General features: G+C 42.4%; 1 protein-coding gene across 2 annotated transcripts in view, besides 5 other annotated features; it reads left to right on the forward strand.

Annotated features, from left to right (window-relative positions):
- The window catches only part of KCNK1 (potassium two pore domain channel subfamily K member 1), a 58,409-nt gene extending 55,340 nt beyond the window's left edge, over nt 1-3,069 (forward strand). For both annotated transcript variants that reach the window (NM_002245.4, XM_011544184.3), the window contains one exon: nt 1,826-3,069. In NM_002245.4, coding sequence (NP_002236.1) covers nt 1,826-2,085 — 260 coding nt within the window. In that variant the 3' untranslated portion in view covers nt 2,086-3,069. The remainder of the gene's footprint in view (nt 1-1,825) is intronic.
- Nucleotides 8,018-8,640: an enhancer, noted in NCBI's record as "NANOG hESC enhancer chr1:233813209-233813831 (GRCh37/hg19 assembly coordinates)". NCBI's record gives its function as "activates a minimal SCP1, AML or CMV promoter by ChIP-STARR-seq in naive H9 embryonic stem cells {active_cell/tissue: H9 hESC(naive)}" and the evidence as "EXISTENCE:reporter gene assay evidence [ECO:0000049][PMID:30033119]".
- Nucleotides 9,789-10,290: an enhancer, noted in NCBI's record as "NANOG hESC enhancer chr1:233814980-233815481 (GRCh37/hg19 assembly coordinates)". NCBI's record gives its function as "activates a minimal SCP1, AML or CMV promoter by ChIP-STARR-seq in naive H9 embryonic stem cells {active_cell/tissue: H9 hESC(naive)}" and the evidence as "EXISTENCE:reporter gene assay evidence [ECO:0000049][PMID:30033119]".
- Nucleotides 19,096-19,925: an enhancer, noted in NCBI's record as "NANOG-H3K27ac hESC enhancer chr1:233824287-233825116 (GRCh37/hg19 assembly coordinates)". NCBI's record gives its function as "activates a minimal SCP1, AML or CMV promoter by ChIP-STARR-seq in naive H9 embryonic stem cells {active_cell/tissue: H9 hESC(naive)}" and the evidence as "EXISTENCE:reporter gene assay evidence [ECO:0000049][PMID:30033119]".
- Nucleotides 19,926-20,755: an enhancer, noted in NCBI's record as "H3K27ac hESC enhancer chr1:233825117-233825946 (GRCh37/hg19 assembly coordinates)". NCBI's record gives its function as "activates a minimal SCP1, AML or CMV promoter by ChIP-STARR-seq in primed H9 embryonic stem cells {active_cell/tissue: H9 hESC(primed)}" and the evidence as "EXISTENCE:reporter gene assay evidence [ECO:0000049][PMID:30033119]".
- Nucleotides 20,756-21,585: an enhancer, noted in NCBI's record as "H3K27ac hESC enhancer chr1:233825947-233826776 (GRCh37/hg19 assembly coordinates)". NCBI's record gives its function as "activates a minimal SCP1, AML or CMV promoter by ChIP-STARR-seq in primed H9 embryonic stem cells {active_cell/tissue: H9 hESC(primed)}" and the evidence as "EXISTENCE:reporter gene assay evidence [ECO:0000049][PMID:30033119]".

Genomic DNA, 22,561 nt, shown 5'->3' on the forward strand with positions numbered 1-22,561 from the left:
ACAAATGAATATTCCAAAGATATATTAGATGTGGGCAGGATAAAATACCCCTGTTTTTGTCTGAAACCCCATGGATATTTTTGTGAGCATTCAAGAGTTTGACAAAATAATTATAAAGGAGGCTGGGCACGGTGGCTCATGCCTGTAATCATAGTACTTTGGGAGACGAAGGCAGGCAGATCACTAAGGCCAGGAGTTCGAGACCAACCTGGCCAATATGGTGAAACACCATCTCTACTAAAAATACAAAAATTAGCTGAAAATCACTTGAACCTGGGAGGCGGAGGTTGCAGTAAGCCAACATCATGCCACTGTACTTCAGCTTAGGTGACAGAATGAGGCTCTGTCTCAAAAAATAGTAATAAGAATAATAAAGGAAAAGACACAGAGATCCATCAATTAGTCTAACAATGTCATTACTATTTTTAAAGTACAGGAGAGCACACTGAATGCACGATATTGTTTTCAAAACCTATAGTCAGATTCTGAAGATACTAAAACTTTGTATTCTGTGGTTAATTAGTTTCCTTATTCCTGTTATGCTGCCAATTTTAGCTTCCCTACTTCATACATTTTCGAAAATCCTTCTCAAATGTTTTACCACTGGGACATAAAATCAGAATTTTTGTTATTCTTGGAGTTTTCATCTTCACATTTCTGTTCCTTTTTATGATTTTTTTTTCTGAAAACTCATTTTTAAAATGATGGAAGGAATTTTAAATCACCATTTCCCATCACAGATTCCAAGCAATACATTTTACTTGAGTCAACAGTTATCCTTCATTTTCCCAGTAACAAACTGGTAATGTTGGCCAGTGAATAGTCCACATGTCCAAAAACAACTGAGAGATAATGAAGAGCTTGGCTTTGTTGCTGGATTTAGGTGCAAGTGTAGATAGCCATGCACAAGGACCTATTTAATATCAACATACATTCTTAAATTTTTGATTTAGTTTAGTGTATTAGTCTGTTTTCACACTGCTGATAAAGACATACCCGAGACTGGACAATTTACAAAAGAAAGAGGTTTAATTGGACTTACAGTTCCATGTGGCTAGGGAAGCCTCACAATCATGGTGGAAGGCAAGGAGGAGGAAGTCACATCTTACATGGATGGCAGCAGGCAAAGAGAGAGAGAATGTGTGCAGGGGAAGTCCTCTTTTTAAAACCATCAGATCTCGTGAGACTTATTCACTATCATGAGAACAGCAGGGGAAAGACTTACCCCCATGATTCAACTACCTCCCACCAGGTCCCTCCAACAACACATGGGAATTCAAGATGAGATTTGGGTGGGGACACAGCCAAACCATAGCATTTAAGACTGCAATTTCTATTATAAACTCTTATTCTATAATAGAAATTGTAAGAGTATTGAGTGCTTAAAATCTTCCGAGCACCCCATGATAAAACAAAAACTTTTCTAAAACATCACTGGCTTTTTGTGAGCCACTGATTATAAAGCAGAGGTGGCAAACCCTCCTTGCATAAAATATCACACTTGGGTAAGTGCAGTATGTTATGTGTCTTTAATAATGCCACATCAGCCCCAAGTATTTTTTTTTTCTCAAAAATTGCAGCCTGTGATTCTAACTAATCCAAGTTCATAGGAGGTTAAATCATTCTTCATTGTCTTTCACTCTTTAATAATGGGTAGTTCCTCTTTGAACCATGAACTTAAAAACACTTCTAAAAATTAAGAAACTGGCAATGAGTTTATTCCTTAACAAACACTGTGTTGGCATGAGGTGGGGAGGTAAATCACTCGCTACTTGATTTATCCATGTTGAGATCACACTAAGACAGTGTCCTGTTTCTCACACAGGTTACCTGCTACTTGGCCTTATTGCCATGTTGGTAGTTCTGGAAACCTTCTGTGAACTCCATGAGCTGAAAAAATTCAGAAAAATGTTCTATGTGAAGAAGGACAAGGACGAGGATCAGGTGCACATCATAGAGCATGACCAACTGTCCTTCTCCTCGATCACAGACCAGGCAGCTGGCATGAAAGAGGACCAGAAGCAAAATGAGCCTTTTGTGGCCACCCAGTCATCTGCCTGCGTGGATGGCCCTGCAAACCATTGAGCGTAGGATTTGTTGCATTATGCTAGAGCACCAGGGTCAGGGTGCAAGGAAGAGGCTTAAGTATGTTCATTTTTATCAGAATGCAAAAGCGAAAATTATGTCACTTTAAGAAATAGCTACTGTTTGCAATGTCTTATTAAAAAACAACAAAAAAAGACAAATGGAACAAAGAAGCTGTGACCCCAGCAGGATGTCTAATATGTGAGGAAATGAGATGTCCACCTAAAATTCATATGTGACAAAATTATCTCGACCTTACATAGGAGGAGAATACTTGAAGCAGTATGCTGCTGTGGTTAGAAGCAGATTTTATACTTTTAACTGGAAACTTTGGGGTTTGCATTTAGATCATTTAGCTGATGGCTAAATAGCAAAATTTATATTTAGAAGCAAAAAAAAAAAGCATAGAGATGTGTTTTATAAATAGGTTTATGTGTACTGGTTTGCATGTACCCACCCAAAATGATTATTTTTGTAGAATCTAAGTTAAACTTACTATTTATAATGCATAGGTAACCATTAACTATGTACATATAAAGTATAAATATGTTTATATTCTGTACATATGGTTTAGGTCACCAGATCCTAGTGTAGTTCTGAAACTAAGACTATAGATATTTTGTTTCTTTTGATTTCTCTTTATACTAAAGAATCCAGAGTTGCTACAATAAAATAAGGGGAATAATAAACTTGAGAGTGAATAACCATAGTATTCTGCTGCAATAAATGTTTCTACCCTCTTGCGATAGAATGGTGTCAGATGTCTAACATGTTTATAAACATTTTTTTGAATTGAACAGGTTATGAAAAGGATTTATTAAAAGGTTAAGATACTTTGTTTTGAAAGTACATTGTGATTTGCAGCCACCTAGCACTAAAGCATAGAACTTAAACACGAATCCCTAAATGAACAGATTATGTTACATTAATCTGAGAATTTTAAATTTAGAAGCTAAAATAAATAAAAATCACAGCTGGTTGTAATCTTATGCTTTCATATATCAGAAGTGTGCCTCTATGTAGAATATATATACATATGTGTGTGTATATACATATATATATGTATGTATATATATACATATGTATATATATATATATGTGTGTATATATATATATATATATACGTATATATATATATATAGTCCTTCATAGAAAACATAAAGGTCACATTTAGATGACGTACACAGGATACTATTATATTAAGGATTTTAGAAAAGAAAATGAGAAAGCCCCTGTGTGATAATGAATGTCCACTGACCCCCGCAATGGAGCCTTACCTCCCATGGGTGGCTGCCCAGGAGTTGGTGGTTGAGGGGCTGGTAAAAATCAGTGCAAAATCAGCGCCCTCTGATGAGCCAGCCAAGCACTTTGATCGCGGGCCAGTCTCCTGACAGTGGGTCACTCGCTCAGTAACCTTCTACCTTCTGTACCATGTGCTGCCATGAGTAAATTATTACCAACTGCAGGGCAAAGGGAAAGCATCCCCTTACCCTTCGGAAGATTTGCTGAAAAATCAACTCACAAAAAGGCAGATTAATGAGAAAAGGCATACACATTTATTAACTACCATGCACACAGAAAGAATTACAGAGTGATTGTCCAATATCTCAATAGGGGTTCACATGCTTAAATATCTTACTGATTAGAGGACAGGGAGATGGAAAAATATAGGTGATTTTAGAGGGATAGTATATGATTTTTAGAGGAATCCAAGTGTGCTGCCCCGTAAGCATATTTCCTCCCTGCTGACCATGTCCCTGCAATAGAAGACTGCTGTCATGAGGCCAGATCATTGGTTAAGGGTAGAATAGAGAATCCTTGGAGAATAGAGGCATGCATCCTGCCATAACTGGATCTGCAACATTTCCGATGGTCACAAGCCTTGGTGTGGAGCAGAGTCCTGAGATGCTCATCAATATAAATCACAGAAGCTGGATTACACTTGGAGAGTGTTATTCTATTTTATGCAATGCAGGAAAAAATAATGGCTAGTTTGCTACAGCTGCTTGGCTCTAACATGAGAGGGAAGTTCAAAGTCCAGAAAATGAGGAAGTACGTGAAGAAAAACTTCTGAATCAGATGTGATTAATAAGTAATAGAGTGTAGTACTTAATTTTAGGAACTCGTTTGAATCCGCAGAGAACACATTAAACCTTAATGCCCTTCAGATTGTTGTTAATGTGAAGGGCAAAGTAGAAAAGTAGGAGCAAGTTTTGCCTCGGCCCCCACCCTAGCAGGCAGGAAAGTAAGGGAGGATGTCTTCCCCAGGGTTTCTTTTTGTCTTTGGCCGATGATGCTGCCCTTTGGTCCCCAGGGAGAAGCGAGCTTGGTCACCCAGGAGGAGCTCTGGGTCAGCCTCTCAGAGAACAGAAATTCGGCTTGCTGCAGGCATGACAAGGAGGTGGAAGATGAACAGTGTAGCTAAGCCAGAACTGACCTTGGGAACCCTTTAGTTGGAGGCGAGAGAGTGGGAAGTTGGAGGTAAAAGTGACTACTAGAGAATTCTGGGTGATGAGTACAAGCTGAACTCACTTGCTTAGCTTGAGCCTTCAAGATTGAGTTCCTAAGATGCCTGCGGAATGCCCTCAGGGTAGAACAGCAGCAGAAAGCCTTATCATTCCAGGACATGGTCCTGTGCGTGAACTTAAATGTGACACGTGTCTGGTAGGGATGTTGATTTCAAAGTAGCAGATACACTCCACGTGAGGAGAGAACACAGAGTATCTCAGAGTGGGAGTTCCTAAGCTCTCAGAAATCCAAGGGAAGAGAGACCAAGGGGTGGGAGTAGTCTCTAAATGAATCATGTAAAAGATTCCCAGGACAGATAAAGTTTAGCCCAGATCACTCCATTTATGACACTGGTTTCTTTCTATAGTAGTCATGCCACCAAGATATTTTGAAAGTATTTGTTCAAAAGTTGAAGAAGACAAGTGGGAGAAAAAAGAAACATTTTCTGAAGACAGAAATTTGGTCTGACTTCAAAAAAAATCGAGTAATGTTTAGATTACTGACATGGGGTCACTTTTTTTTTTACCTGAGAAAAAAATCACACTCATACTTTCTCCAAACCAGCTTTATGGGCCTTTTGGAAAATGAATGAGGAGATATTTACAAATCTGGAGACCTCAAGATAACGGAAATAGGCAATGCAAAACCTTCTTAACTCTTTAAAGTACACTGACCTCTTACTAAAAACAGCTATTTGTTTCAAAGAAGAAAAGTTTTAAATTGGCAGAAGCACATGTTGGAGAATTAGAACAGTATTATCTGTCTCTTATTCAGAATTCAGTGAGAGCAGAGCCTCCTGATTGTCTGGCATAATACATTTATTTTGGTATTTGTTGTTGTTAAAGCCTCCATGCTGGGAAGAGCTGTGATAAATACTGATATCCTCAATTTAGGAAGGCAGTCCCTTTAGGATGTAGTTTCAGCAATGTATATATGGCAAATTTAGAAACAAAAGTTTCTTAGCAACTTATAGTTGAAATTGAAATGAGACAGTATACCATTTACTTTATTTGACTATGCCAAGTAACTTTTTAAATCTGTCTCTGTAGCATGTTTGAGATTTTCCTATTGTGACTTTTTTTTTTATTTTGCAAGGGTCTTACATTGTGGAAATTTGGTGCATCAAAGCCTTTTGTGTGAGGCAAGATGTAAAATTGCTGAAGTCAATTTTCCTAACATCTCTCTTATCTAATATGTACTGTCAGGCAAACTCAGCTTTTTGGAGTGCAGTAAAGGACCCAGAAGTAAATAAAAATGCTTTTTAAAGTATTTTTCATGCCCTGGTAGGAAAGCACATTTAAAAAGAAGTAAGCCCTCTCTTTGCTTCACTCATGGCATACACATACTTACTTTGCACACAGTTCTAACAAAATTATTACTCTGTTTTTCCAACCCACAGAAAATAAAGGAGAGAGTTGTATTAAAAGGCAAATTTAAGACAAATTAATTCAACAGAGTTTATTTGAAATTAAAGGATTCATGAACTGGACAGCATTCAAAGCCTGAAGAGGTTCAGAGAATTTCACTGTAGCAGCAAGAGGTGTGGGGTTTTATAGGCGGAACATGCAAGCAAAGCAAAGCAATTGCTTGATTGGCTACAGCTACGTATTTGTCTTAATTGAATATGATCTACTGGAAAATCCCTGGGCTTGTTGGTGGTTTCTGACTGGTAAAGGTTTTTTGTTTGTTTGTTTAACTGTTTATGTTGAATTGGGCTTGGCTGGATTTGTTCACCTAGGAAACAAAGGGCTCTGAGGCCATCTCAGCCTAATGGCCTCTCAATTATTTTAACAATTGCTACCCAAATTTTGTGTCAACATAAATGACGTTACAATTTGTGGTGACACAATTAAAGAATTTAAAAGTCTCCATATGCAACTTGGCAATAATTACTGTGCAATCACTTAGGCGGCCTTAAAATAGTAAGCAGTCTCTCAGTTTCTGTAAAAGCATCCACAGCACTTGCACCATTCCCTTAGCATCCTGTGGCACTCAGCATCTGCGTAGAACAGTCTGACCACTCTATTTTATACTGAGAAGGAGAAATGGTCACACCCTCTAGAGACATGACCACCTGTCTTACTGAAAGCAATTTTTGACTAAGTCTGGAGCCTCATGGCAGCTAACATGCTGCTCTCAAAGGGGGCGCCACAGTGTACTCAGAGCCACAAACCACACACAGGTGGCCTAGCAAATTTTTACCAATGTGGAAAACCCACATTTTAAGCCAATGACAGAACATACTCGGGTCAGTATGATTACAAAGTATGAATACTTAACTTGCGGAAAAAAAATGGATTTTCATTATTTTCATAATGATTTCACTACTGTGATAAGATTTTCATTATTTTCATAATGAAATGTTATTAACACAATTTTCATGACAACATTAAATGATGTTTACAGACATAAAGTAAGTGAATAGTATTTCCATGCAAAATGGTTAAAATTTGCTTTAAGATGTTTCCTTTTTAAGTGGTAATTCTCTTTGCTTAGAAAATTCCCTCAGGCTAAACATCTTATCTTCCACCATGAAGTAACTTGCTGTCTACATATGAAGATGACACTACTGCTAAAATCTTGCATAAATAAATGTCTATATTATTTATTTTAGGTGAAGAATTTAGCTTAGTTTTGAGAGTCTTTTTCATCCTCTTGGTTTTATTATTTATATAAATGACTGTAAGCCAAAAAGTATCTGACACAGGTTCAATCAATGCAGAAGTTTATTTTGTCAAGGTTAAGGACGTGCCTGTGACACAGCCTCAGGAGGTCCTGATGACATGTGTCCAAGGTGGTTGGGCTGCAGCTTGCTTTTATATGTTTTAGGGAGACATAAGACATCAACCAATACATGTAAGATATACATTCGTTTGGTCTGGAAAGGGAGGACAACTCAAGATGGGCGGGCTCCCAGGTCATAGGTGAATTCAAAGATTTTTCTGATTGGTAATGAGTTGAAAGAGTTTATCTAAAGACCCAGAGTCAATAGGAGGGTGTGTTTGGTTTAAAATAAGGGGTGAAGGAGACCAAGGTTCTTATTTTGCAGATAAAGTCTCCAGGTAGCAGGCTTCCGAGAGAATAGCTTGTAAATGGTTTCCTATTAGACTTAAAAAGGTGCCAGACTTAGTTAATTCTCTCCTAGATCAGAAAAAATACCCAGAAAGAGAAGAGGATTCTCTATAAAATGTAGATTTTCCCCACAAGAGACAGCTTTGCAGGGCCATTTCAAAATATATCAAAGAAATATATTTTGGGGTAAAGTATTTCTATTGCTTTCAGGGCCTGCTGTCATATCAGCATCTTATTGCTACAAAGAGTCTGTTTTGTTAGACTTAAGGTCTCTGTTTGAATGTTCATGCTGGTCAGTTGTGTCTGAATTCCTTCCATGGAGGCATGTCCACCCACTCATTTCCATCACAGCCTGAACTAGTGTTTCAGGTTAACTTTGGAATGCCCTTGGCTGAGAGGAGGGATCCATTTAGTGGTTAGGGGGCTTAGAATTGTATCTTTGGTTTACATTCCATGTGTAATTGCAAACATACATATTTTCACCCACATAACTCAGCATTTAATTTTCGCTTCTAAGCAATGACGAGACACCCCGAGCCCATCGGCCACCAGATATTCAGACCTTCCAGTGAGCTCATGGGTGTTCAAAGACATCAGCCTAGTTGACCCCAAACTCCTGCCTTACTTTGTTCTTGCCCTGCGTAAACATCTTTGGTTTAAATTGCTGCATTCATTTGGGATAAGTGCCCTTTTTGATGTTCTCCCTTGCATAACGAAAGCTTTCCTCTAAGCGGTTGTTACCAACTTAGTACATGGTGTGATGCATTGCAAATTAGGACAGTGTGACCTTAAAAACTGGAACCAAGCCTATTCTCACCCATTCAGCAGTGACCAAGCGAGATTTTAAAGGTCACTGTAATTTATGGCACATGCTAGAGCTGGCAGAACTCTATTAAAAAGTAAAATAATAGATTGCCTTTTTGTCACAGTCTATCATTTTTCCCTCAGATTTTGGGGAACTGAAAAGGAGATCAGGCTGCCCCAGGGACCCCTGTCTTGGGAGAGTGAAGCAGAGCCCAGGGCATGGGCATAGCCAGACATTGACAGCACACATTTCTGTTGGTGACTCCCTCCAAAAGGGGCACTGGCTGGAGAAGGACGACAAGCACAGTGGGTCAATGTGGAAACCTAGCTGTGCCACCTGGAACACTTCTCCGGTCACTATGGAGGGTCTTAAAGAGACTAATCACTGCACTCACATTTGTTTTCTTTCCAGCTGATCATCTGTGTTACTTACGTCTGTAGATTTCAAGGTTCCATGGCTATATCTAAGGTAAAAAGAGGAGAAGTATTTTATGAGTGTTACGCAGAATATCTGGCCGAGTGATTATGAAATAGCTTTTCACCCAAGTTGTAAAATGAGAGCATCCTGTGTATTTATTTCCCTTCATACATAATATGTAAAAAGTCCAGTTGCAAGATGCCACTCAGACCCAGTGAAATCCACTGAGAATGGCAAGACCCCATCTTTACGAACAATATTAAAAATAGCTGGCTGTGGTGGTGCACACTCAGGAGGCTGAGGTGGGAGGACCACTTGAACCCAGAAGGTCAAGTCTACAGTGAGCCGTAATGGTGCCCCTGCACTCTAGCCTGAGCAACAGGGCAAGACTTTGTCTCAAACAACAATAAAATAACCCCATAAATTAAAAAAAATTGACCCAGCATAGTTACATGTACAGGTAGTCCCAACTAATTGGGAGGCTGAGACAGGAAGATCGCGTAAGCCCAGGAATTCAAGGTGGAAATGAGCTATGATCATGCCATTGCACTCCAGCCTGGACAACAAAGCAAGACCCCGTCTCTGAAAAAAAAATAATTAAAACAAACAACCCACTGAGAAGAGATGGATGTGAATATGATTTTCCTGACAATTATACCTGTGAACCAAGGAAAAAGAAAAAGATGCAATCAATGAGGCTAGAGAAAGAATGTAGAGTTCATTGAATAAGTGAACACTTTTTAAGGAACATTCTAAAAAATTCAATTTAAGCTACTACATTCATTTAAAAGCCTGGGCTTATTAAATTTTTTTAATTCTAAGCAATGACTAAAAATCAGTATTCTGAGACAACTATAAATAACAGTGAATCATTATCTTTATGGGTAAATAGAATCTCTGTGCAAACAATTCAATGTAATATTACACCATTTGCACACTTAAGTTATGGGCTGTCGCTCCCAGTTCCTTTGCATGTGGCTATATATTTCCAGACCTCTCAGATCAGCCATGGAGCCCCTAGTCAGCTGGTGGAGGCCGTGAAGGGGTCCGCGTTAAGCGCTATACCCCCATCTGTTCTACGACAATGGAATTAAATGGTTTCTAAAGGGAGCTTAGTTCTTCTGGAAACAGGTAAATCTAAGCGTTGTCTAAAAGTGTTAGAGCTCAAGTGTTAAAAGAAGGGAGCTTTTCTGGGGGCAGATTGTAATAATGAATGCGAAGCAATCAGTTTGCTAACTGGTGCTTAGCAAACACTTTTCACAATTGTTAGCTGCTACTATTAAAACCAATTTTAGTCATTTTTCTAAAACACAAAATGATACCCGCTGCTGTGGAAGTGAAATGTGGCACAGATCTTCAAGGAAATTGCCCGTTTTTTATTTGGAGTATAAACACACACCAATTAGCAACACAGGGTCATGAAATTCCAGTGCTAGTTGGTGTCCTGCAAGGAGTCAGCGAAACAATAAACTCAAGGGAGGGGGAGGTCCCTGGGGGTTCCGGTGGATAATGTCAAGGCCAAAGGAAAACTTCTTCTCTTTCCGAAGGTTTGTGGAAAATCAGCTGATAAAAGCAGCTTAATAGAAGAAAAGCATACACAATTATTCGATCATAGTTTTATGTGACACAGGAGCCTTCAGAATGGGGACCCAAAGAGACAGGTAAAATTGTCAGTTCTTATGCTTTAGTTCAACGAAGTATGGATGGCTGTATAGAAATATAATTGGACCAAAAGGGAATGATCGAATGCTAGTAGACTAAGAGGGGAAACCCAGCAAGACCTGTCTGTTTAGATTCTTCTCAGCCTCTCTGAGCACGCATTCCTTCCTTGTGGGTGTGAGGCAGCGCCCTCCCTGGAATGGAGGTCTTATGACCTACAATTAAATGAGATAGGTCAGGAAATTTATTTATGTCCAGTTTTTACACAGAAAGACTGGAGGGGGACACAAAGTCATATTTTTCGGTTTTATGGCTGGCTGTGGGGAAAAGGAGTTCCGGTTTCTATGACCTGCCTTGGAGAAGAGGGATTCTAGTTTCTATGGGTAGCCTTGGGGGAGTTGGGATTGAAAGACAGGAGGGTAGAAGAAGGTCAGAGAATAACTTTTGCTTCTGAGGCCTTCATTTGGGGTATTGTTTTCTGATTCCAACATTAGGAAAGGTTTTGCGGGACACCTGGTCCTTGGAGATTGAGAGTGAGGGCATTTGAGGAGGCCAGTACAAGCCAAAGTGAAGGCCCCAGCCAGGCAGCAGTAGAATGGTTACTTGGGATACAGCATAGTGGCTCAAGGTGGAGATGCCACCACCAGGCACACCTGTGCCAGTCTCCAGATGTGGCACCCTGGGCAAGCCTCTCAACCTCAGCTTCCTCACCTACTAGCCACCCCCTTGGGGGATATAAAGATCATAGTGACTTCTTGGAAAGCGCTTAGCACAGTGCCTGGTCCATTATGTATCATAATACAATTTAATTGCCAGTGTTATCGAATGACCATTCTGAATTTTTTCATTCAGCCTGTTTATTAAATAATAATATTGGCAACTAAAGTATGTTGAGGAGTAGTGACAGCTCGCATCAGTTCAGGAGAGTGAGAGATGGGGGCTTTTGAAGACTTGACGGAAGTTCCTGAGTACTTTGACCTGAGGATTGACCTGAGTCCGGAGTGCAGTCAAGTGAGACTGTCATTAGTGTGTAGAAAATGAATATGGAAGGCATGGTGTTAGGAAGGCTGGCCCACCCAGTGATGCACAGGCTGGATCATTGAGCGGGGTACTGGAGCTGGCAAATACAGCTGGGACGCAGTTCTAGTAATGAAAGTCCGAAAGGGAAGCAAAGAAGAGCAGATAGAAGGGGGAAATAATGCTGAGGGCAGTTTTAACGCATAATTAACATGTCTTCCTAACCCGTAATGATTATGATGCAGAAACATACTGAAGTTTCCAACCTGAAACTAAGATAATGGTGCTTTAACAAAAAATGTAGGGAAGGGAAGGGAAGTTTGTTTCATGGTAATGTTGGGTTTGGTATAATGGAAACTTTCACACAGATTAAATTAGATTACCTGGGCTAAATACCTATCACAATGCCTGACCTGACTTTTTTCTTTTTTCCAGTGATGGGATCTTGCTATGTTGCCCAGGCTGGCTTTGAACTCCTGGGCTCAAGGGATCCTCCTGCTTCAGCCTCCCAAGTAGTGGAAGCACAGGCATGCACCGCTAGGCCTGGCTACAATGTCTGACATTTGGAAGGAAGATATTAAGACTCAGAAAATGGTCAAAGTGTCAACTGCTGAAAAATGTCCAAATAGGTTGATGCAAAGGACATTGGATTTAACTACAAGGTGGACTTGGTGACTTCTGATAGCAGAATTTGAATGAAAAGACTAGGAGAGTCTGTGTAGATACCCAAATTGAAGGGATAGTGACCGTAATAATTGCCTACAAGATAATAGTGCTGATAAACATTTCAAATAGTATAATTTAATGCTTACCTGTACTTTCTGAAATTTTTAGCAATAATTCAAACATTGTGTTTGTGTCCTGCATAAAATTCCGGTTTACCCAACACACACACACACACACACACACACACACACACACACACACACAAATGTAACATCTAATACCATTCTATTTTATTCTTATGTGGTTATGGTGTTAATTTCAGAAGGCTTATTTGGTAAAATGTTCTCAGCTACTTACAGAACCAATTGCATCTACAGATATTTTATAATAATGCATTATGCAACATATTTTATTTTTATTTCACCTCATTTAACCAGTGAAGGTGATTTGTCAAATGTATCCATTTCCAAAATTATTTGTCTATCCAAGACACCCTGCAGACTGAGCATTTGACACGAGATGCCCTTGATATGAGTTCAGACTATAGAGGTCACCCCCAGGGCCTGCAGTGAGAGCTAGCTCTTCAGTCCTTGAGGTGAAACCTGATCAGAGTGAAGATCACTTTAAAAATCAGTTATCCCAAGGGAAAGATTTCCCCACATAATTCTAAAACATTTCTTTATGCCCCATCAGGATTTAAATGCTGTAGTTTATGAGCTGTATTTCCAGGTAATAACAAACAAGCCGCCAACTCGGAATTTATTTGAACTGGCTCTTGCTGCATACTGATAATTAGTGCTCACAAGTGATCCTGGGACCACGCAGAAGATGGCAGTACCTTCTGAAGCATCAAAGAAAGATATCCAGTAGAGTTATAGTCTTGCAGGGACCTCAGTGCACACTGATTCTTTGATAATGAATAGTTTGGGTTACTCTGCTAATTGCATACACTATTCCTTAGCCACGTCTACATAAAATAATGTACAAATATGTACTCGTGAACATTCCTTAAAGTTGCCTAATAGCGCTTAAGAACTGCAATGTCTCTGATTTTTCTTTCTTTTATTGGATATCTGTGGGAACATTGCTATGAGAGCCTGGGAGGAAAGAGCCAGCATTATAATTACAGGAAAGCAGAGGGTTTTGTATTTTTATACTATCATATCCAAAGAATTTGTTTTGTTTTTAAGGTAAGGAAAAAAGAGAGGGGACATTCTCTGTTCTTTAACATAAATTTACGTCTCCAATAGCCCTTCTGTCTTGCACCTCTCTAAAATGAAGGCACTGTGTTTTCATCCGCAGATATGCCCAGAACTCAGGAGATTTCCACCTGCTCTGTCAATAATACTAGGTCTGTGTGCTCAGTGATGCCAGACTGGCTGCCTATGTCTTCATTAGTTTAATTTATTCTTCCTTAGAATGGAACAAATACCAATAATCTCTGAATTCATCGGGACAACATTGAACAAAATTAATTAAGTAGCCATTTTAGATATATTCATAAAGATTGAGAAGGGATAGAAAAACAATTTTTTTTTGGTGAAGGAGAGAGATGAAGGAGATTATTGAAGGGCTACTGCATTTAGGAAGTACAGAAGTACAGCATGCAATGAGCTACGTGGAGGGAAAAAGGGGCTATTTTTATTTTCATTGTTTTGATTTTTAGTGTAAGAATGAAATGTGCCAGTGAAGTAAAAAATCATAGTTGCCAGGAAAACCAAGTTCTCTGTGTTTCATATTTTGTCTTAGAATCTTATATTGGGAGTGATTACTTTCATGTGCGTCCGTGTGAAGAGACCACCAAACAGGCTTTGTGTGAGCAATAAAGCTGTTTATTTCACCTGGGTGCAGGTGGGCTGAGTCTGAAAAGAGAGTCAGCGAAGGGAGATAGAGGTGGGGCCGTTTTATAGGATTTGGGAAGGTAATGGAAAATTACAGTCAAAGGGGGTTGTTCTCTGGTGGGCAGGGGCGGGGGTCACAAGGTGCTCAGTGGGGGAGCTTCTGAGCCAGGAGAAGGAAATTCACAGGGTTAATCACTCAGTTAAGGTGGGGCAGGAACAAATCACAATGGTGGAATGTCATCAGTTAAGGCGGGGCAGGGCCTTTTCACTTCTTTTGTGATTCTTCAGTTACTTCAGGCCATCTGGGCGTATATGTGCAAGTCACAGGGGATGCGATGGCTTGGCTTGGGCTCAGAGGCCTGACATTCCTGCCTTCTTATATTAATAAGAAAAATAAAACAAAATAGTGTTGAAGTGTTGGGGCGGCGAAAATTTTTGGGGGGTGGTATGGAGAGATAATGGGCGATGTTTCTCAGGGCTGCTTCAAGTGGGATTAGGGGCGGCGTGGGAACCTAGAGTGGGAGAGATTAAGCTGAAGGCAGATCTTGTGGTAAGGGGTGATATTGTGGGGACGTTAGAAGAAACATTTGTTGTATAGAATGATTGGTGATGGCCTGGATACGGTTTTGTATGAATTGAAAAACTAAATGGAATAAGAGAAGGAGAAAAACAGATATAAAAGGACTAAGAATTGGGAGGACCTAGGACATCTAATTAGAGAGTGCCTAAGGAGGTTCAGCATAGTCCTGCCAGCAAAGATTATTTATTTACTTCAAGAGTTAAGAGTGGCAGTTTGGGGATAGCACGAGGAGATATCAGCTGTGATGGCTTGGAGAAACAGTGTAAACCGGCAGTGTAAACAAGAGCAGGGCATGTATGAGTAGTTGAGAATGGTGAATAGGAGTATGACTAGACAGAAGATAGTAGGGATGACAAGTTATTTGGGGGCACAGTTTAAGTTCGTCTGGTGTCTGGAATGAGACTGGGGCCTAATAAAAAGGAGCTCAAATGGGCTGTACCTTGTAGCATTCCGAGGACAGGCCTGAATTCTGAGAAGGGAAAGTGGTAAAAGTATTGTCCAGTCCTTTTTAAGTTGGTGGCTGAGCTTGGTGAAGTGTGTTTTTAAAAGACCTTTAGCCCGTTCTACTTTTCTTGAAGATGGAGGACTGTAAGGGATATAAAGGTTTCAATGAATACAAGAGCCTGAAAAACTGCTTGGCCGATTTGACTAATAAAGGCTCATCTGTTATCAGACTGTATAGAGGTGGGAAGGCTAAACTGAGGAATTATGTCTGACAGAAGGGAAGAAATGACTGCGGTGGCCTTCTCAGACCCTGCAGGAAAGGCCTTTACTTATTCAGTGAAAGTGTCTATTTAGACTAAGAGGTATTTTAGTTTCCTGACTCGGGGCATGTTGAGTAAAGCTAATTTGTCAGTCCTGGGTGGGGGCAAATCCTCGAGCTTGATGTGTAGGGAAGGGAGGGGGCCTGAATAATCCCTGAGGAGTAGTAGAAGAGCAGATGGAACACTGAGAAGTTATTTCCTTGAAGATAGATTTCCACGATGGAAAGGAAATGAGAGGTTCTAAGAGGTGGGCTAGTGGCTTGTACTATAGCATAGCCTGCCTTTGCTGGTGTGTGGCGATTAGGCCGGATGGAACTGCCATCAATAAATCAAGCGTGATCAGGGTGAGGAACAGGAAAGAAGGAAATATGGGGAAATGGGGTGAATATCAGGTGGATCAGAGAGATACAGTCATGAGGGTCAGGTGTGATATCAGGAATAATGTGGGAGGCCAGACTGAAGTCTGGGCCAGGAACAATGGTAATTGTGGGACTTAACAAAGAGTGAGCACAGCTGAAGAAGCCGGGGAGCAGAAAGTATATGCGTCAGATATGAGGAAGAAAATAGATTTTGGAAGTTATGCGAAATGTAGAGCATGAGTTGAGCATAGATTGTGATTTTTAGGGCCTCTGAAAGTATTAAAGCAGTGGCAGCCGCTGCACGCAGACATGAGCGCTAGGCTAAAACAGTAAGGTCAAGTTGTTTGGACAGAAAGGCTACAGGGTGCGGTCCTGGCTCTTGTGTAAGAATTCTGAGTGCACTAACTATGCCTAGGAAGGAAAAGAGTTGTTGTTTTGTAAGGGATTGAGGTTTGGGAGATTAATCGGACATGATCAGCAGGGAGAGCACGTGTGTTTTTATGAGAATTATGCCAGGATAGGTAACAGATGAGGATGAAATTTGGACTTGACTGAAGTAATGGGGGCTGTCTGTGAAGCCTTGCCGCAATACAGCCCAGGTAATTTGCTGAGCCTAATGGGTGTCAGGGTCAGTCTAAGTGAAAGCAAAGAGAGGCTGGGAGGAAGGGTGCAAAGGAATAGTAAAGAAAGCATGTTTGAGATCCAGAACAGAATAATGGGTTGTAGAGGGAGGTACTGAGGATAGGAGAGTATATGGGTTTGGCACCACGGGGTGGATAGGCAAAACAATTTGGTTGATAAGGCGCAGATTCTGAACTAACTTGTAAACCTTGTCTGGTTTTAGGACAGGCAAAATGGGGTAATGGTAAGGAGAGTTTATAGGCTTTAAAAGGCCATGCTGTAGCAGGCGAGTGATAACAGGCTTTAATCCTTTTAAAGCGTGCTGTGGGATGGGATCTTGACATTGAGTGGGGTAAGGGTGATTAGGTTTTAATGAGATGGTAAGGGGTGCATGATCGGTCGCCAAGGAGGGAGTAGAGGTATCTTATACTTGTGGGTTAAGGTGGGGGGATACAAGAGGAGGACGCAAAGGAGGCTTTGGATTGGGAAGAAGGGTGGCAATGAGGTGTGGCTGTAGTCCAGGAATAGTCAGGGAAGCAGATAATTTAGTTAAAGTGTCTCAGCCTAATAAGGGAACTGGGCAGGTGGGGATAACTAAAAAGGAGTGCTTAAAAGAGTATTGTCTAAGTTGGCACCAGAGTTGAGGAGTTTTAAGAGGTTTAGAAGCCTGGCCATCAATATCTACAACAGTTATGGAGGCAAGGGAAACAGGCCCTTGAAAAGAAGGTAATGTGGAGTGGGTGGCCTCCGTATTGATTAAGAAGGGGACGGGCTTACCTTCCACTATGAGAGTTACCCGAAGCTCAGCGTCCGTGATGGTTTAGGGGGCTTCCGAGGCGATCGGGCAGTGTCAGTCTTCAGCTGCTAAGCTGAGAAGATCTGGGAAGGAGTCAGTCAGAGAGCCTTGGGCCAGAGTTCCAGGGGCTCTGGGAGTGGCTGCCAGGTGAGTTGAACAGTCCGATTTTCAGTGGAGTCCCGCAGAGATGAGACGCGGCTTAGGAGGAATCCCGGGCTGCGGGCATTCCTTGGCCTGGTGGCCAGATTTCCGTCACTTGTAGCAAGCTCCTGTGGGAGGAGGTTCTGGAGGAACACCTGGCTGCTGCAGTTCAGGCGTTTGGAAGTTCTTGTGTGCTGGAGATGTGGCTGGGGTTTGTCTCACAGTGGAGGCAAGGAATTGCAACATTTTCTATTATTGTACACCTTGAAGGTGGGTTAATTAAGTCCTGTTGTGGGGTTTGAGGGCCAGATTCTAATTTTTGGAGTTTTATTTAATGTCAGGAGCAGATTGGGTAATAAAATGTACATTGAGAATAAGACGGCCTTTTGACCTTTTAGGGTCCAGGGCTGTAAAGCGTCTCAGGGTTGCTGCCAAACAAGCCATGAACTGGGCTGGGTTTTTATATTTGATGAAAAAGAGCCTAAACACTTCTGATTTGGGATAAAGAAAAAGGAGCATTAACCTTGACTATGCCTTTAGCTCCAGCCACCTTTTTAAGAGTAAATTGCTGGGCAGGTGGGGGAGGGCTAGTCACAGAACGAAACTGTAAGCCAGACCGGGTGTGAGGAGGGGAGGTGATAAAAGGATTATAGGGTGGAGGAGCGGAGGCTGAGGAAGAATTGGGACCTAGCTCGGCCTGGCGAGGAGCAGCCTGGTGAGGAGGGGAGAGGTCAGATAGGTCTGTAGAAAAGGAAGATTAGAAAGACTCAGCGACGCTTGGGGTTGGGACTGAGGGGACAGGCGGGAGGGAAAGAAGGAAGATTTGGGACGAGTTGCATTGGGCACAGAGACTAGGAAGGGACTGATGTGTAAAAGAATGCCTGGACGTCAGGCACCTCAGACCGTTTGCCTATTTTACGACAAGAATTATTTAGATCTTGCAGAATGGAAAAATTCAAAGTGCCATTTTCTGGCTATTTGGAACTACTGTCGAGTTTGTATTGGGGTCAAGCGGCATTGCAGAAGAAAATAAGGCATTTAGGTTTTAGGTCAGGTGAGAGTTGAAGAGGTTTTAAGTTCTTAAGAACACAGGCTAAGGGAGAAGGAGAAATAGAAGATGGAAGCTTGCCCATAGTGAAGGAGGCAAGCCCAGAGAAAAGAGTAGAGACACGGAGAAGGGGTGGGGGGTTCTTGCCCTCCAGAAAAGCAGAGAAGGGGTCGGGGCACAGAGATACGAGGTCGTGGCATGGAAATAAGGGATCAGAGCACAGAGATATAAGAGGTTGGGGCACGGAAATAAGGGATCGGGGCACAGAGATATAAGAGGTCGGGGTGCGGAAATAAAGGATCAGGGCACAGAGATATAAGAGGTTGGGGCACTTGCCCCACTCCTAGAAAAGCGAGATTTGCTGCTAACGGTGAAGGAGAAAGGGTAGAGACAATGAGAGAAGGGGTTGGGGTACTTGCCCCTCCCCCAGAAAAACAGGACTTGCCGCTAAGGGTGAAGGAGAAGGGATAGAGACATGGAGAGAAGGGGTTGGGGTACTTGCCTCTCCCCCAGAAAAGTGGGACTTGCCACTAAGGGTGAAGGAGAAGGGGTTGAGGGGTACTTGCCCCTCCCCCAGAAAAGCGGGACTTGCCACTAAGGGTGAAGGAGAAGGGGTTGAGGGGTTCTTGCCCCTGCCCCAGAAAAGCAGAGAAGGGGTAGAGACACGCAGAGAAGGGGTTGGGGTACTTGCCCCTCCCCCAGAAAAGCGGGACTTGCCGCTAAGGGTGAAGGAGAAGGGGTTGAGGGGTTCTTGCCCCTGCCCCAGAAAATCAGAGAAGGGGTAGAGACATGGAGAGAAGGGGTTGGGGTACTCTCCCTTGCGAGATCAATCCCCTGTCCTCCTGCTCTTTGCTCCATGAGAAAGATCCACCTATGACCTCAGGTCCTCAGACCGACCAGCCCAAGAAACATCTCACCAATTTCAAATCCGAGTCACGGCACCAAATTTTATGTACGTCTGTGTGAAGAGACCACCAAACAGGCTTTGTGTGAGCAATAAAGCTGTTTATTTCACCTGGGTGCAGGTGGGCTGAGTCTGAAAAGAGAGTCAGCGAAGGGAGATAGGGGTGGGGCCGTTTTATAGGATTTGGGAAGGTAATGGAAAATTACAGTCAAAGGAGGTTGTTCTCTGGTGGGCAGGGGCGGGGGTCACAAGGTGCTCAGTGAGGGAGCTTTTGAGCCGGGAGAAGGAAATTCACAGGGTTAATCACTCAGTTAAGGTGGGGCAGGAACAAATCACAATGGTGGAATGTCATCAGTTAAGGCGGGGCAGGGCCTTTTCACTTCTTTTGTGATTCTTCAGTTACTTCAGGCCATCTGGGTGTATATGTGCAAGTCACAGGGGATGCAATGGCTTGGCTTGGGCTCAAAGGCCTGACAATTACCAAGATCAGAAATATTTGTTGAATGAATAAGTGATCTCCCAGCACTTCATCAAAAGCAAATTAGGAAGACTGATTTGCCATCAGTATCAGAATTCCCAAGGTTTTCTATCTTCCTATCTCTGAATGGATCAGACTCACAATGGAGACACAGATCACAGTGTCCTCTCTGTACTGTTGACCTTGCTTCTGATCCAGAAAGCCTGCAATTCCCACTGAGTCTACAGTTTTGAAAAGATAGACAGTCATTCCAACACCTAACAGGAGTCCACAAATCACACCATGTCCATGTTTTCACGTGAATGGGAAAAGAGTGGGAAGAGAATAAGAGGTATGCTGGCGATAACAGGATAGGCCCAATAGAGAGCCCTGAGATCAGGAATCTGAACAGACTTGCAGGGTTAGCAGAAAGGGCTAAGTAGGTCAGAAACCAGAGGCTTGATGTTGAAAGAAAGGGAGGATAGGACCTATTTATAGAAAGTAGAAAAGCCAAACTAAAGTCAGTATCTGACTCCTTCTTCATAGGCTTAGCCATGTTCCAAACTGGGTTGATACTGGCCCATTTAACGGTGAGCAGAGTAGTGAAGTAATTCCAGCCAATCCCTGGAAAACGGATTATTAGCAGAGCATGCCAACAGTTTTGGTGAGTTCTGTTCTGGGTCAGTAAACAGTACTTAAGAATATTAAAGGTAGAGTGACCAACTGCCCCAGTTTTCCCTGAACTGAAGGTTTCCTGAAATGTAGGACTTTCAGTGCTAAAACCAGGATAGTTCTGGGCAAACCTGAATAGTCGGTTGCCCTAATTAGGGGTCACAGCAAGACTGGATTCATTTTTTTTTTTTTTGGACAAACACTTACTGAGATCCTGCACTGTGCCAAGTACTACACTAAGCCTTTATAAAACAAAAAGTTCCTGGAGAAGCTTGCAATATGGTGATTGAATAAGGCATTGACTAAATAACACAAATGCTGTAGTGCACCCTGCAGTGGACCCCTTCAGGACTGAGGCCCATCCTTCCCTAGCTGGTGGGAGTGTTGCCTACTAATGGCTCACTGCTGAGTCTGTTCTAGTAATCACCCTCTACTGAAGAAAGCTTTCCTGCTCAAGGTTGTATCTCCTACCTGGAGAGTCTTGATGCAGTGATGGCCAATGTGAGTTACAAAGGTCCAGCCCTCCTGTTCCATTCCAGGCAACTTCAAGGGCCATTCTAGCTCCAGTGCACCCTATTGGCTCATGAGATGCCTGCTTCAACTGCATCACAGTTCAACTCCTCCTTGTGCCTCTCTCACACACGTTGATTGTTCCTAGGATTCCTCACCAACATACCTCTTTTAAACAAACTTCAGAGTCCCAGAGTCAGTCCCCAGGGAAGCCAACCTGTGACCAACATCTAACATTGCAACTGTGCCAGGTGCTCAGAGGGAAAGGTGCCTAGCACTGTGGGAACCTGAGAGAGAAAGAGATCTGACCTAATCAGCACATCATGAGTGAACAGGAATTAACTAGGCAAACAAGAAAGGCAACGTGTTCTAGGCACAGCCAATGGCATGAACAATGGCCCTGTAGTGGAGAAGACCATTATGGTGATGAGGAGGGACCGAATGTGACCCAAGCATTGACAGTAATAGGAGCAGGCAGGCTAAAAGCTAAGGCCACAGAGGCAGCCCGCCAGGTCAAGGGATGGAGGATTTTCTATATCCTAAGAGCAATGAGAGGCCAGTGAAGGCTTTTAGGCAGGGGAGTAACAGGACCCTACAGATCCCCAAGTGTAGGGGATGAAATTTGCAAGATGCCACAGTTACCTTAGAGCCAGTAGCAAGCAAGGATAATAGAAGGCTGGACACTGGCCCAGGTCTTATGCGCCAACCCCCTCCCCTGGCCACTCCCCCAACACCTAGGGCCAGTATCAGCCTAGTTTGGAACATGGCTAAGCCTATAAGCAGGGGGTCAAAGAGCTTCTGCCAAATCAATTAAAGCCTGGAAGGAAAGAGTCAGCATGATAATTACAGGAAAACAGGATTTTACATTTTATACCGTCATATCCAAAGAATGTGTTTTGTTTTTAAGGTAAAGAAAAGAGATGGGGGTGGGGGAATTCTCTATTCTTTGACATCAATTGACACCTCCAATAGCCCTTCTCTTGTCACCTGTCTCTTTTGCTTTGCTATTCCCTCTCACCCTCCATTTCTTCAATTAATATTTATTTTCTGAATGTTATATGCCAATTATGGGGTGATGAGCCTCTGAGGTCCTACCCTTCGTGGCTATTCCCCTGACACCCCCATGTAGGGCCACTGCAGAGCTCATGAGCAGGTCTTCCATGGTTTCTCTGCAGCCTCAGGGCTGGGAGCCTCACAAAACATTTTCCTCTTCTGGATGGTGCCCAGGCATGTGCAGTCTGAGTGGACACCACTACTGGTTCCAGTAATTGTTGGATGAAAAAGGGAGCCAAGTGCACTGAGGGTGGGTACAAGGCCTGTTAAGTCATCTTGAGCTTGAAAACTCATAATGTGATCCCTGAGACATTGCCTCTAGAGCCCATCACTTTGCAGGCACATAGATGTTTGGGACCTTTTCCAAACCCTCCCTGTGTCAAAAAACCGTGCTGAGATCCCTTACCCAGGAAAGCAGAAAGCCTTGCTGTCAAGAGAGGGCTATTGTGTGTGTGTGTGTGTGTGTGTGTGTGTGTGTGAGAGACACAGTCTTGCTCTATCTCCCAGGCCGGAGTGCAGTAGCACAATCTCTGCTCACTGCAACCTCCACCTCCCAGGTTCAAGCAATTCTCGTGCCTCACCCTCC

This window comes from Homo sapiens, chromosome 1 (assembly GCF_000001405.40).
Source record: "Homo sapiens chromosome 1, GRCh38.p14 Primary Assembly".
Taxonomy (NCBI): Eukaryota; Metazoa; Chordata; class Mammalia; order Primates; family Hominidae; genus Homo; species Homo sapiens.